Raw genomic sequence first — 13,268 nt, forward strand, 5'->3', positions numbered from 1 at the left:
TCCCAAAGCGCTGGGATTACAGGTGTGGGCCACCGTGCCCAGCCTCATTTGCACCTTTTGGAGAGAAGAAAGTTGAGGAGGAAGGAAAGGATTCTGCAGGTGGAGAGAAGGGTCTCTTCTTCCATGTAGGCTGGCCAAGATCAGGAACAAAGTCCCTTTTCCTTCTAAGTTGGGAAGTTGAGACCCAGGGCAGGGCAGGTTTTGCCCAGAGCTACACAGCCAGAAAGTGGCAGAAGCAGATGAGGACCTGGGTCTCCTGATGCCCTGTTTCCCCCAACACCAGTCCCCTCCACTGCTGCCTCTGGGACTGACAGAGAAAGGGAGGTCTATGGGCACAAAGTCAGCAAGCAGCTGCCATGAGCCCTGTGTGCAGGCAGCGCTGGCCCAGTGCTGGGGAGTTGCTGTCCCCTCTCCTCTAGGCCAGCCTGGTCTGTCTTTGTAAGCCTGGAGCAGCAGGAAGTGAGTAGGAGTAGTTACACCCCCACTGCACTTCGGTCTCTAAAAGTGTCCCATTTTCCCTAAAGGTGATAGGTAATATATGTTCATGGTGTCTATTAGGATTCTGATAAGATGGCAGAAAAATCAAGATCAAGAGAAGGTGAACAAATGGGAGATAGGTTTCGCTTTGCGTTTACTACCCCACCCCTGCCAAGCAATGCAGCAGGCCTGCCCAGTAGCTCCCAGTCTCACCCTCCTGACATTCAAATAGCACTTGCTCCCTAGTATGGATGTGACCTGTTCCCCAATCCCAGAACTTGATTTTGCCAGGAACTGAGATATGGAATCTTCACACTTGGATAGGCTGCTTGCAGGTGGAAGTGTGGGTGAGTTTTGCATCCCTGGATGTGCACAAGCTGGGGATGGTACAGATGTGGCATGCTGCAGGGGGGTGTTGCATGATGCGTGGGATGCTGGCTGCTCTCTCTTTGTCCCTCCAGACCCTGCTCCATGCCAGAGACAGCTCAGTCCCTTAACCTGCATCTTTCAGAAAATAGGACACTTTTGAAGACCAAAGTGCAGTGGAAGTATCACTACCCCTACTCCCTCCCTGCTGCTCCAGACTTGCAGAGACACACCAGGCTGACCTGGAGGAGAAGGGCCAGCAACTCCCCAGCACTGGGCCAGTGCTGTCTGCATACAGGGCTCATGGAAGCTGCTTGTTTGACTTTCATCTTCCTTGTCCTCCGGCTTTTGCTTGGGTTTGGCCAATAGGAGGCACCGCTGGGAGATGGGAAGGAGGTAGGAGAGAGCAGTGGAGCCATACATTTTCTAGTCCTCTCCCTGCCAGGCCACACTTTGGTGGGTGCAGTCTTTCTCCCCTGAAAAGCCACAGCTCTTATCAAGTGGACCTCTCACCCATCACCCTCTCTGGGCTCTGATCACTGCTTGGTCCCCTTGTCTTTCGGGTCTAGTGGCTGTAAGGGCTTCCCATGGTGCTAGTTCCCCGGATGCCCCACCTCCCCTTCTGGTTCCCTGCCCGCATAAATACCCCCATCATTAAACTCTCCTCAGTTACCCTTGGGAAGGTGCCATCTGTCCATCTGTTTCCTGCCAGGCCTGACTGATACAAACAGGAAGGATGGGACCTTGACCTCCTGGTCCTAGTCTTTCCTAGATGCCACGCTTCCCGGGTCCCCGTGGTCATCTCGCAGTCCCAGCATTTCCGACCACAGAGCCCCTCAGTGTGCAGTGTGCCAGGCCTGCGCCGAGCTCCCACCAGCCTTATTTATTTATTGAACAACATGCAAGCGGTTTCCTTTTGTGTTTAATGTGTCAGCATTTCAGTGTATTCGGACTTCAAGGCTTGGATTTTGTTGACAATAATGAGATCACCCAGACAATTATCGTTTGATTTTTCAGTTTGCCAGAGAGGGGAAGATTAAAGAAAAGTTAAGAAGCTTTGGCTGTTTCCTGTTATCCATTTGCTGGGAGGGGTGGGGGTGGGGTTGAGGGGCTGGAAGGAATAGAAAATCTAACTGCTTAAAAATGTCCACATCTGGAGACACCCAGACGGTGTGCATCCAAGCGGGCTTCACGCGTGTACAAAGGTGCCCTCGTGGGGTGACCCTTGAGGCAGGTAGAATGTTCCTGTCCCCAGACACTTTCCCATGTGAGGCCACAGGGTCTGAAAATCCATCAGTTCCAATATGCGGTCCTCCAATTTAAATCCTCGAGTGAGAGACAGAAGACTGGAATCCCACAATTGCTTATTATTATTATTTTGATAGAACTATTGTTTCAGCACAGCCATGAATTTGTTGACGTGGAATGGCTTCCCTCCTTGGCCCGGGTTTTCTCCTCTGCAGAGGGAGGGGTGATTGAATGAGACGGTTCAACCCTGCCTGAGCCCTGCCTTCTATCCCCCACTGCTCCGCCTCAGTGTGTGTGGCTCATTGAGACCCCAGGGAGAGGCCTGAGGTTGCCGAGGGAAAGGAGGGTGCCAGAGGGAACAGTAGGTGCCAGAGCCTTCTTGACTTCCATTGTATGCTCTGAATGAGTCCCCAGTCCTGGGAGAACAGGTATCTACTGGGGGCTTTCAGAGCACATCCCACAGGGCCCCAGGGAGGGGCGGGTGCCAGGGAGGACAAGGCCAGTCTACGGGGCTCGTCCGCCTTCCTCCATCCCTCCATCTGGGATTCCATCCTGTGACTGACAGGACACAGTATTTATGCTCAGAAAGACCCTCCAGAAATGCCTCCACCTCTGGCCATGCCCTCGGCACCCCTTCAACCATCTCATGCCCTTTCTAGAATACCAGGGAGACCTTCTCCCCATCAGGGGCAGCCTTTCCCTAGATCACCTTCTCTCTGTCTCCTTTCTGCTCACCTTTCTAGACATGCTTGCCTTGGTGGTGTTGACTCTGTCCCTTCTTCCCATGCTTTCCAGCCTCATCACCTGGCCACCTCTCCCAGGTTGTCACACTGCCTGTCTATCTAGGTGTTGGCACTTTCAAACCACCTGCTGGGTGCGGATGTTGGAAGGTGACCAACTGGGCGTGGTGGCTCATGCCTGTAATCCTAGCACTTTGGGAGGCTGAGGCAGGTGGATTGCCTGAGCTTAGGAGCTCGAGACCAGCCTGGGCAACACGGTGAAACCTGATCTCTACTAAAATACAAAAAATTAGCTGGGTGTAGTGGTGTGGGCCTGTAGTCCCAGCTACTCTGGAGGCTGAGGCAGGAGAATTGCTTGAACCTGGGAGGCGGAGGTTGCAGTGAGCTGAGATTGCGCCACTGCATTCCAGCCTGGTGACAGAGCGAGACTCCTCCGTCTCAATAAATAAATAAATAAATAAAAAAGGGAAGGTGACCATCATTGGGACAAAGCTGTTTGTTACTGGGGGGAAAAAAAGGAATGATGAAGGGGGTGAAGGGGGAATAGGAATAGGTTTCTTTTTTGTTTGTTTGTTTTGAGACAGTCTCCCTCTGTCACCTAGGCTGGAGTGCAGAGGCTTGATCTCGGCTCACTGCAACCTTCACCTCCTGGGTTCAAGTAATTCTCCTGCCTCAGCCTCCCAAGTAACCGAGATTACAAGCGTGTGCCAACATGGCTGGCTAATTTTTTTGTATTTTTAGTAGAGACAGGGCTTCACCATGTTGGTCAGGCTGGTCTTGAACTCCTAACCTCAAGTGATCCACCTGCCTGGGTCTCCCAAAGTGCTGGGCTTACAGCTGTGAACCACCGCGCCCAGCTGGAAGTCGGAATCTTTATGCAAAAAGAATGCTAGACAAATGAGGAAACCAAGGCCCAATGAGAGGAGAAACCACTGCCTTCCAGCCTGGCTCAGAGCTGCAGCCCTTCATTGAGAGCTTGAATTCCCTACAGCAAGCAAGGGCCGCTTACTGAGTTTTTCACAAAGCTTTTATTTGCAGAGTTTTTCTGATTTTTGGTGTTCAAATGTCCATTCTTTTCTGAAATTCCAGTGATAAGGAATAGTTGCTGATTTCCTTTATAAATGTCCTTTCTTGGCCTAAAGCCCATTTTAAAAATTGGCACTATCATACGAATTCACCAAATCTGACTTTGACTTTCTGTGGTGGTCAATATCTGGGAGCATCTACCTCCGTAGCACACTGAGATGTGCATGGACCAGCATTTGCTAAACTCCTCTCTTGATGGGAGCTCCCAATCTTCCCTGGAATGTGGTATAGGCTTATGGTAGCTCCTGGCCCAGGTCAGAGACTGCAGGTGGACCCAGTACCGCCAAAGTGGGTGGACGTTTACATCCAAGCCCAGCCACCCTGGCTCCCAAAGCCTCTTTCAGCCTCACATCGCTGCAGGTCAGAAAAAGAAGGACAAGATATTTCCTGCTCAATCAGTGATTATGTGTGGTTTTTCATTTTCATTCATTTCTTGGGTATTGTCTGAATAGTTACAATGAGCAGAATAATTTTTATAACCACCTCCAATAATCATTCCCATATTTTAAAAGGTATAGGTCCATAAATCTTTACTCTCCAATTTCAAAAGTAGTAATGACTCCTGGTGCAAAATTGGAAAATGAAGAAAAGGATGAGAATGTCTTTCTCCCATAAGAAAATGACTGATAGCGTTTTGGGTCTTTCCTTTCCATCCTTAGAACCATTTAGAAATGAAGGGCACAGCTGGCTGCCCTGTGGAAGGGCGTTCATAGAGCAGGCGTCAAACACCTTTGCTTTGAGAAAGCAAAGTCCCTGGGGACAGGGATTAAGTACCGCTCCTCTCTGTATTCCCTCTCTTCAGAATGGCCTGCCCATCCCCCCAACCTCCCAGGACACTGATGTCAGCACAGTAGCAGCTTCCTTGACAAATATTTGTGGAGCTGAATAAAAAAGCAGCACAGAAGAGCAAACCCCTTGAGAGATGTCGGCCGACTCCCAGGCCTCCAGAACTTAGCTTGATGGACTTTGACAGACAGGGATTTGTTTCTTCGTGTTGTTTAGCTCAAACCAGAGCTAAACCTCCTCATCGTCTCAAATGACCTGAAATGGTTTCCCAAGCAACCTGGGCAGACCCTGGGGAGTCCAGAAGGCATTCAGGGGCCCTGGACCTCTGGGGCTGAAGATCTGCCTGCCGCTGTCCTGGAGGTCACAGGTTCCAGAAGGGCAGCAGATGCCTGAAGCCGCAGGGCTGCGGGAAGTGAGTGTGCACATGTGTTGGGTGTAGGGGAGGGTTGAGCCAGGAGCAGGGTTCCAGCCTGGGCCTAGGGCATTGTCTGCAGGGGCAGGGAGCAGGAAGTGGCCTTAGGTAGCTGGGGACAGGATGAAGGGGAAGAATGGGGGCCACTCTTCCAAAAGCTAAATGCTTGATCCAGGGTAACTCCCAGGGGTGGGGTCTGGCCACTATTTGTCCAGGGCAAAGTGGCCTGGGGGTCACCGCCAAAGTTTGGCTGGGGGTTCCTCGTAAGAGCGGCCAGTCCCAGAGTGGAAGAGGAGCTGGGGCTGGGACACCATGCAGTTCTGGGATCGGGGGCTTTGGGACCTGCAAGCCCTTCCAGTCATCAACAAAGTGGGGAAACTGAGGCCCAGACAGGAGCAAGGACTTTCCCATGCTTCCTTAATGAGTTAATGGCAGAGCTTAATAAGTTAATGGGACCGTAGTGAGGGTGACTGTGGAGACCTGGGTTTGAGTCCCAGGTCCACTTATTAGGGGTGTGTGTGAGCCATGGGGCTTCAGCTTCTCTATCTGAGAAATGGAGATTAAACACAGTCCTGCAAGGGGCTGGCATGGGAGCCAGGGCTGATGTGGGCTAAGGGACGTACCAGCACGCTGTTTCTAACTGACTCCTCAACCAGAGTCCTGCACACTCTGCCTCACCAGGCTCCATGCTCTTGGTTTGGCCTCCAAGGCTCCCACGGCCACCTCAGTTCTTTTCCCTGCTCCTCCATTTGGCTTCTTGGGTCCACTGGTTTTTCTCCTATCCTTGGTCCTTTGTCTTCCCAGTGGAGGACCAGCCTGGCTCCACACTCTCACTTTGAGTCGTCCCAGTTTCCCTTTCAGAGGACATGGTTGGGGAAAAGGTCTTTCTTCCAGGTCTGGGCATAGCTGACCCGCTAAGGAGAGAAGCACAGCTTCTTGGGGATCCAGATGACTTGTCACCTGGGTTAATGGCTTTGAATGTTGGGGGAGACTCAACAAGGAAACTGCCATCTCTGCACCCCAACCAGGTGCCCAGCACAGGATAGCCATTTAAGCCTCACAAAAACACTGTGATGTTTATGTTTTTGCTTTGTTTTGTTTTGTTTTAGAGTTGGGTTTCACTCTGTTGCCCAGGCTGGAGTGCAATGGCACTCTCAGTTTATTGCAGCCTCGACCTCCTAGGCTCAAGGGATCCTCCTGCTTCAGTCTCCTGAGTAGCTGGGATTACAGGTGCATACCACTATGCATAGCAAATTTTGAAATTTTTTGTAGAGACAGAGTCTCGCTATGTTGCCCAGGCTGGTCTCGAACTCCTGGCCTAAAGCAATCCTCTCTCCTTGGCCTCCTAACTGTTGGGAGTGGCATGAGCCACCATGCCATTCAGTGTTTGTGTTCCTTATCCCCATTATACAGATGTGGAAACTGAGGCCCAAGTTGTCAGAATCTCTTTCCTTTGGATGTTCTGCACTTATCTAGCCTGAATCCTCCAGGCCTGGAGCTAGGACTCTCTCCTGTCTTTCACTTTGATTGGTGGCCTCAGAGGCAGGGCCTGGGTGTCTTCTGGCATGAGGGCTGAGCAGGCATTTGCCTGCCACCAGCTCTAAGGGTCCCAGGAAGAAGGAGACCAAGAGGCTGGACATTCCTTGCTACAAACTCCAGCGTTCTAAGCACGGGGAGGCCTGGGGCGCAGCAGGGTGAAGGTGCCATTGCTGAGGGGTTTTAATGCTGTTCCCAAACAGCTCTGCCCTCAAAATGGACAGCCCTCAGTTTCCCTACAGAGCCTGGGTCTGGAGGTTACCCTTTGGGTGTTTCTTACCTCCCTGCCAGGTCTGCAAGGTCAGAGAAAACATAAACTCTTCTTGTCCCACCCTCAAGAAGGCAAGGTCTCTGAGAGCTCTGGGGCTGCCCTCACCTGTGAGCTCCCATGAAGTCTCACCCAGGATCACACGGTGGGTAGAGGCAGAGGAGGGCTCTTACTGGGGTCTTTAGACTGAAACCCGCCTTTGTTCCCAGGACACTTTTGTTTTCCAAAACATTTTAGGTAAGGAAGTCTCTGTTTGCCCAAGTGACATACTATGTGTAACCCTGAGAAAACAGAGAAAAGGGCCATGACTCGTGGAACACGGTTGAAAATCTTGCCTCTCTGCTGCTCAGCTCCTCAAGGGCAGGGGCAGGGGTGGGGTCATCCCATTTTTCCCTCTATCTTTCATGATGTCCAGTGCTGGCCAGGCCACCAGCTGGATTCCATTTGTAGTGCTGTGTTGTGTGGCCTACAGAGTGATTTTTATTTTACTTTTAATTTTTTAATAAGCTTTTTTTGCATAATTTACATACTGTAAAATGCTCCCTTTTTGGTGTACAGTTGTATGAATTTTGTCAGATCACCACCATAATCAATACATTAGATCATTTCCATCACTCCCCAAAATGTAACCCCCGCCATCTCCCTTTCGGGCAATCCCTGCCCCCATCTCCAATCCTTGTTAGCCACCATCTGTTTTCTGTCCCTATAGTTTTGCCTTTTCTAGAATGTCCTAGAAATGGAATCCTACACTATGGAGACTTTTGAGTCAGAGTGCCTTGACTTAGCAGAATGCATTTGAGATTAGGTATTTTATTTTATTGCATGTCTCGGTAGTTTATTCCTCTTTCTTGCTGATTAGTATTCTGTCATGGACATACCACAATTCATTTATCCATTCCCCAGGCAAGGGACATTTGGATTGGTGTTTACAGATAAAGCCATTATAAACATTCATAGATAGATTTTTGTGTGAACATAAATTTTTATTTCTCTTGGGTAAATACTTAGGAGTGGAATTGCTGGGTCACATAGTAAGAGTATGTTTAACTTTATATGAAACTGCCAAATGGTTTCCAATGTAATGGTACCATTTTGCATTCCTGCCAGCAAGGTAAGAGAGTTCCAATTGCCCAGCATATTCATTCACCAGCACTTGGTATTGGGAGTTTTTTTTTAAAAAAATGTAGCCATCCTAACAAGTGCACAGCATTAACTTATTGTGGTTTTAATTTGCATTTTCCTAAAGATTAATGTTAGGCATCTATTCATGGGCTCTTGTCCATCTGTAAGTCTCATTTGAAGAGTCCAACTCTTTTGCTTATTTTGTTTTTAATTGGGTTTTGAGAGTAATTTATATATTCTGGATACATTACAAAGTGTTTTTAAAAATAAGAATCTGTCACAGCCAAATAAATGAAGCAGTAAAAAAGAATCAGAATCTGTTTAAAATATTTAAAGGGACTCCTAGAGATCTCACGTAGACATGGATTTCTGGTTTCATTTGTTTTTAAAAAGGAAGATATGACAAGGCTGAGCTCAGCATCCCACGTGGCCACAATGGCAATGGCTGGTGGTGCTTGCACCCTTGCTGGGCTGTGTTCTCCAGTCTCTTTACATACCAACCTGGCTCCTGTGGGCATTTGCGTTTGAGACCCCCTGAATAACACATTCTTTGTTTGACCCATGATGTGTGTTGTCTGCATATAGAGCGCCCCCTGGGGCTGAGTTCAGGTTTTGCACTGCTTTTCTTCCCATCTTCCCAATTGCCCCTTAACGGGGACTGAATCCCTCAAGCCCACTTATTCAAATAACCACAAGATCCCTCTTTCTGCCCTTTGGTTCCTTGATGTTCCCACCTGTCCACCATACTGTGCCATTTGCATGGTAGTTTATGTGGGTAGCATCCCTTAGAGTTGTGCAGCGTGCAACCCTCACTGCCAAACATGCTGGTCCTCTTTGTTCTTCCCTAGCCCAGGGCTCTGGTGTTTGCTGTTTGCTCACCAGGTAGGAAGATGCTATGTCGCAGAGACCAGAACCTGATGTTGTCCCAAGACAAGCTCCCCTCTTGGCTTTTGGTTTTAAAAGTATAATTTCACTGCAAGGATTTTACTGGACCAGTGGTTCTCAAACTTGAGCACGCACCAGTATCCCTTGGAAGGTTTGCCGAAACACAGATTACTGAGTTCCACTCCCAGAGTATCTGGTTCAGTAAGTATTAAGATGGCGTAAAAATGAATGTGCATTTGAAACAAATTTCCAGGTGGTGCAGGAGCTGCTGGTCCAGGACCACACTTTGAGGATTACCGTATTAGATTATCCTGTCAGGGAGAGGGAGGAGGAGAGAGACTCTGAGTGGAGGAGGTTGACTTTGGGAGAGGAGGTGATGAGAGGAAAATTAAAGTCCCTGAGAGTGTGAATTCTATAATCCTTAAAGTAGTAGGACAGTACCTGGGAAGAGGGGGGTGGTGGTCCCTCCAAAGGAAACAGCTACACCTAGAGTGGCTGGACTGAGTTTCTAGGCCTTGGCAAAGATCCTATGCTCAGGTGTGGCTGGAGGCATCATAGCTGCAGCCTCTGAGGGACCCTGTAGTGTTGTGCAGCTCTGCTGTGGGGTGGGGACCCATCAACAGTGACCAGTCAGGCTGCTGGGAGGGTGCTTGGAGTCATATTTCTTTAGTCTTATTATTTACTATTTATTAAAAATATTTTCCAAGCTTTATTGAAGTATACTTGGCAAGTTAAAATTGTATATATTTGCAGTGTACAATGTGATATTTTTGAAATACATACACATTATGAAATAATTACCAACATCAAGCTAATTAACATGACCATCACCTTACATAATTGTGTGTGTGTGTGTTGGGAATATTTAAGATCTATTCTCTTAGTAAATTTAAAGTATACAGTATGACTTTAACTATAGTCACCATACTGTACCTTAGATATCCACAACTTATTCATTCTTCAAAGCTGAAACTTTGATCCCTTTGACCATTTCCCACAGCCCTAGCACTGACAACCACTATTCTATTCAATCTTCTGTGAGTTCAGCTTTTTAAGATTCCACATATAAGTGAGATCATACAGTATTTGTCTTTCTGTTTGGCTTTTTCACTTAACATTATGTCCTCCAGGTTCACCCATGTTGTCACAAGTGACTGGATTTCCTTTTACTCTAAGACTGGATAGTATTCCATTGTATGTGTGCAACACACACACACACACACAATTTTCTTTATCCATTCATTCATTGATGTAGTCTTAGTTGTATGGAACATGATGATGTTCCATATCTTGGCTATTGTGAATATTGCTGCAGTGAACTTGAGAGTCTATTTGAGATACTGATTTCACATCCTCCAGATATATACCTGGAAGTGGATTGCTCGATCATATGGTTGTTCTAGTTTTAACGTTTTGAGGAACATCCATAATGTTTTCCATAATGGCTGTACCAATTTACATTCCCAACAACAGTGTATGAGGGTTCATTTTTCTCTACATTCTTTCAAATACGTACCTTTTGTCTTTTTGATTATGGCAGTTCTAATAGGTGTGAGGTGATCTCATTGTGGTTTTGATTTACATTTCCCTCATTAGTGATATTGAGCATTTTTTAATATACCTGTTGGCCACTTGTGTGTCTTCTTTTGAGAAATGTCTACTTAGGTCATTTGTCCTTTTAAAAATTGGGTTGTTTCCTTGCTATTGAGTTGCTTGAGTTCCTTATATATTTTTGAAATTAATCCATTATCAGACATATTGTTTGCAAATATTTTCTCCTATCCCATAGATTATCTCTTAACTCCTATTCCACAGGTTGTTTCCTTTGCTATGCAGAAGCTTTGTAGTTTGATGTAATTCCATTTGTCTATTTTTGCTTTTGTTGCCTGTGCTTTTGAGGCCATATCCAAAAAATCATTGCCTAGATCAATGTCAAGAAGCTTTTTCACTGTGTTTTCTTCTAGTAGTTTTATTGTTTAGGCTTTGTGTTTAAGTCTTTACTCCATCTTGAGTTGATTTCTGTATATGATGTGAGATAAATGTCCAATTCCATTGTTCTGCCTTTGAATATCTAATTTTCCCAACATCATTTATTGAAGAGATTGTCCTTCCCCCATTTGTGTTCTTGGCACCTTAGTCAAAGATCAATTGACTGTAAATGTGTGGACCTATTCTGGGGCTGTCTATTCTACTCCACTGGTCTACATGTCTGTTTTTATGCTGGTATCAGGCTGTTTGATTACTATAGCTTTGTCCTATATTTTAAAATCAAGTAGTGTGATGCATCCAGCTTTGTTCTTCTTGCTCAAGATTTCTTGTCTGTTTAGGATGTATTGTGGTTCCATATGAATTTTAGAATTGTTTTTTCTATTACTGTAAAAAATACCGTTGGGAATTTTGAAGGGATTGCATTGAATCTACAGTTTGATTTGGGTAGGGCTATAGTTTGAATGTGTTCCCCCAGAAACATGTGTTGTAAACTTAATCCCCAATGTGACAGTGTTGGCAGATGGGGCCTAATGGGAGGTGTTTAGGTCATGAGGTCTCCACCCTCCTGAATGAATTAATACCTATTGTAAAAAGATTTGAGGCTGTGAACTAGATCTTTTGTTCTCTTTCACCCTCTCTTTGACTTTACACCATGGATGACACAGCAAGAAGGCCCTCACCAGATGACAGCCCCTCAATCTTGGATTTCCTAGACTCCAGAGCTGTAAGACATAAATTTCTTTTCTTTGTAAATAACCCAGTCTCTGGTATCCTGTTATTACATGCACAAAGCAGACTAAGACAGGCAGTATGGATATTTTAATAATATTAATTCTTCAAATCCAGGAACATGAGATATCTTTCCATTTATTTGTGTCTTCTTCAATTTCTTTCATCAGTGTGTTACAGTTCTCGATGTACAGATCTTTCACTTCCTTGGTTAAATTCATTCCTGAATTTTTTTGATGCTGTTGTACATGGGATTGTATTCTTAATTTATTTTTCAAATATTTTGTTGTTAGTATAGAGAAATCCCACTGATTAAAATTTTTTTTTAAGAGATGGGGTCTTGCTGTGTTGCCAAGGCTGGCCTCAAACTCCTAGGCTCAAGTTATCCCATTGTCTCAGCCTCTCAAGTAGCTAGGACTACAAGTGATCACCATCATGCTTGGAATCCACTGATTTTTGTATGCTCATTTTGTATCCTGCAACTTCACTGAATTCTTTTATTAGTTTTAACAATTTGTGGTGGAGTCTTTGGGGTTTTCTATATTTAAGATGTTGTCAGCTGAGTGCGATGGCTCACACCTGTAATCCCAGCACTTTGGGAAGCTGAGGCAGGCAATCAGATCACTTGAGCTCAGGAGTTAACCAGCCTGGGCAACATGGTAAAACCCCATCTTTACAAAAAAATTAGCCAGGTGTGGTGATGTACCTCTGTAGTCACAGCTACCTGGGAGGCTGAGCTTGGAGGATGGCTTGAGCCTGGGAGGCAGATTGTGCCATGGCACTCTGGCTTGGGTGACAGAGCCAGACCTTGTCTCCAAAAAAGAAAAGAAAAAAAATATGTTGTCATCTGCAAACAGTGACATTTTCCTTCTTCCTTTCTGATTGGGATGACTTTTACTTCTTTTTATTGCCTAATTGTTCTGGTTAGAACTTCCAGTACTATATTAAATAGAAACAGTAATAGTGGGCATTCCTGTCTTGCTTCTGATATTAGAGGAAAAGCTTTCAACTTTTCATCATTGAGTACCATGTTACTGGTGGGCTTGTCATACATGGCCTTAATTATGTTCAGGTACATTCCTTCTGTATGTATTTGTTGAGCATTTTTAATCATAAAAGGATGCTGAATTTTGTAAATTGTTTTTTATGCCGTCTATTGAGATGATTATGTAATTTTTATCATTCATTTTGTTAACGTGGTGTATCACATTTATTGATTTGCATGTTAAACTATTCTTACATCCCAGGGATACATCTCACTAGATTATGGTGTATAATCCTGTGCTCTTGGTGTATAATTCATGTGCTGTTGAATTCTGTTTGCTAGTATTTTGTTGAAAATTTTTTTCTGTTCATTAGAGTTAATGACCTATAATTTTCTTTTCTGTATTGACCTTATCTGGCTTTGGTGTCAAGGGATGCTGGCCTTGCAAAATTAGTTTGGAAGTGTTCCTTCCCCTTCAGTATTTTGGAAGAATTTCAGAAGGATTAGCATTAAATCTTTAAAAAATATTCAGTGGAATTCACCAGTAAAGCCATCAGGTCCTAGGCATTTTTTTTTTTTTTTGGTTGGGAATTTTTTGATTACTGATTCGATATCATTAGTCATTATTGATCTATTCAG

General features: G+C 45.6%; 1 annotated feature.

Moving 5' to 3' along the window:
* Window positions 5,064-5,709: an enhancer, noted in NCBI's record as "H3K27ac-H3K4me1 hESC enhancer chr16:50540111-50540756 (GRCh37/hg19 assembly coordinates)". NCBI's record gives its function as "activates a minimal SCP1, AML or CMV promoter by ChIP-STARR-seq in primed H9 embryonic stem cells {active_cell/tissue: H9 hESC(primed)}" and the evidence as "EXISTENCE:reporter gene assay evidence [ECO:0000049][PMID:30033119]".

This window comes from Homo sapiens, chromosome 16 (assembly GCF_000001405.40).
Source record: "Homo sapiens chromosome 16, GRCh38.p14 Primary Assembly".
NCBI classification, from domain to species: Eukaryota; Metazoa; Chordata; class Mammalia; order Primates; family Hominidae; genus Homo; species Homo sapiens.